The sequence below is a fragment of the Homo sapiens genome, chromosome 2 (assembly GCF_000001405.40).
Source record: "Homo sapiens chromosome 2, GRCh38.p14 Primary Assembly".
NCBI classification, from domain to species: Eukaryota; Metazoa; Chordata; class Mammalia; order Primates; family Hominidae; genus Homo; species Homo sapiens.
In genome coordinates this window covers 231809254-231810601 of record NC_000002.12, presented here as the reverse complement: position 1 = coordinate 231810601, position 1348 = coordinate 231809254, and the positions used below count along the sequence as shown (strand labels likewise).

The 1348-nt window shown below is 47.8% G+C and overlaps 1 pseudogene; it reads left to right on the top strand.

Annotated features, from left to right (window-relative positions):
- On the top strand, window positions 202–528 carry GAMTP1 (guanidinoacetate N-methyltransferase pseudogene 1; annotated as a pseudogene).

Here is a 1348-nt window from a genome sequence, read left to right as displayed (position 1 = left end):
GGTCGCTTTGATGGGATCCTGTATGACGCGTACCCACTGTAGAAGGAGACCTGGCACACACTAGCTCAACTTCATTGAGAACCACACTTTTCACCTGCTGAAGCTGAAGGGAGTATTGCCCTCACCTCCTGCTACCTCACCTCCTACAGGCAGCTGATGAAGTCCAAGTACTCAGATGTCACCACCATCTGAGACGCAGGTGCCTGTGCTATTGGAGGCAAACTTTCGGGGGAAGAACATCCTCAGGGCAGTGATAGCATTGGTCTTGCAGATGATCATGTCGTCCCTGGTCACCAAGCCTTCAGCCCACACAGACCTGGCCAAACAATCCTCTGCCACCCCTCCTCAGTGGCTGGGAGCTCAGGCTCTGGCCTATCATGGCTCCATGACTGATCCTGGCTGTGTCACTGGGCAGCTTTTCTGGCCTCTACAATGGGAACACTACTGCTTCCCCGCCAGGGTCCTTGAGGGCAAAATCAACACTAACACTGGGCTTGCCCCTCCCTCCCTCAAAATAAAGGCAAGATGAACTCTCAGAGGAACAGCAGCAGGTAGAGGGGTAGCAAGGATCAAGTGTGGAGAGCAGACTCTAGATGAGAATGTAACACAGCAGATGACAGGATGTGCAAGTCAGGAGATCTAAGAGTTCTCCTTCTGCCAGTTACCACTGGGACACTTCAAATCTTTGAGATTGTCTTCTCATATGCAAAGCGAAGATGGCTGAATACCCTTACCAACCTCAGAAGGCTGTTTGGGTGGAAGGGACTGAATGACTTATTGTATGCAAACACACTTTGTAAAGCACTTTAGAGACAAGTTATTATTGTCGCCATCATTATTTTTAAGGAAGGTGAATCATGGAGAGGACCCTTAGGGCCTTGGGGCAATCAAATAAAGAATGGTCACAGACTTCATACAAGTCAAACCATGTTTCCTAGTCTACTTGCCAGTGGGAAAAACAAGAATGAAAGAAAACTTGCTGAGAGTGACTGTTTGAGGTCTAGAAAGAATAGCTGGGAAAACCTGTAAGGTTGAAAGGTGTTCAGCTTCTCTTAGGGTTTTATTTGTAGCAGAGATGGGATCTCACTATGTTGTGTGGACTGGCCTCAAACTCCCGGGCTCAAATGATCCTCCCACCTCAGCCTCCCAAAGTGTTGGGATTACAGGCATGAGTCACTGCGCCCAGCACTCTTAGGCTTCTTCAGAAATATACTTTCCCCAAAATTTCCCTAAGATTTGTTCCACCTAGATATTACCCAAAAGGATTTGGCGGTAAAATCGATGTGGGTACAGGCTTCCTCAACAAGGAATGCTTGGACACCTGAGTAATGAATTTCCAATGAGGATA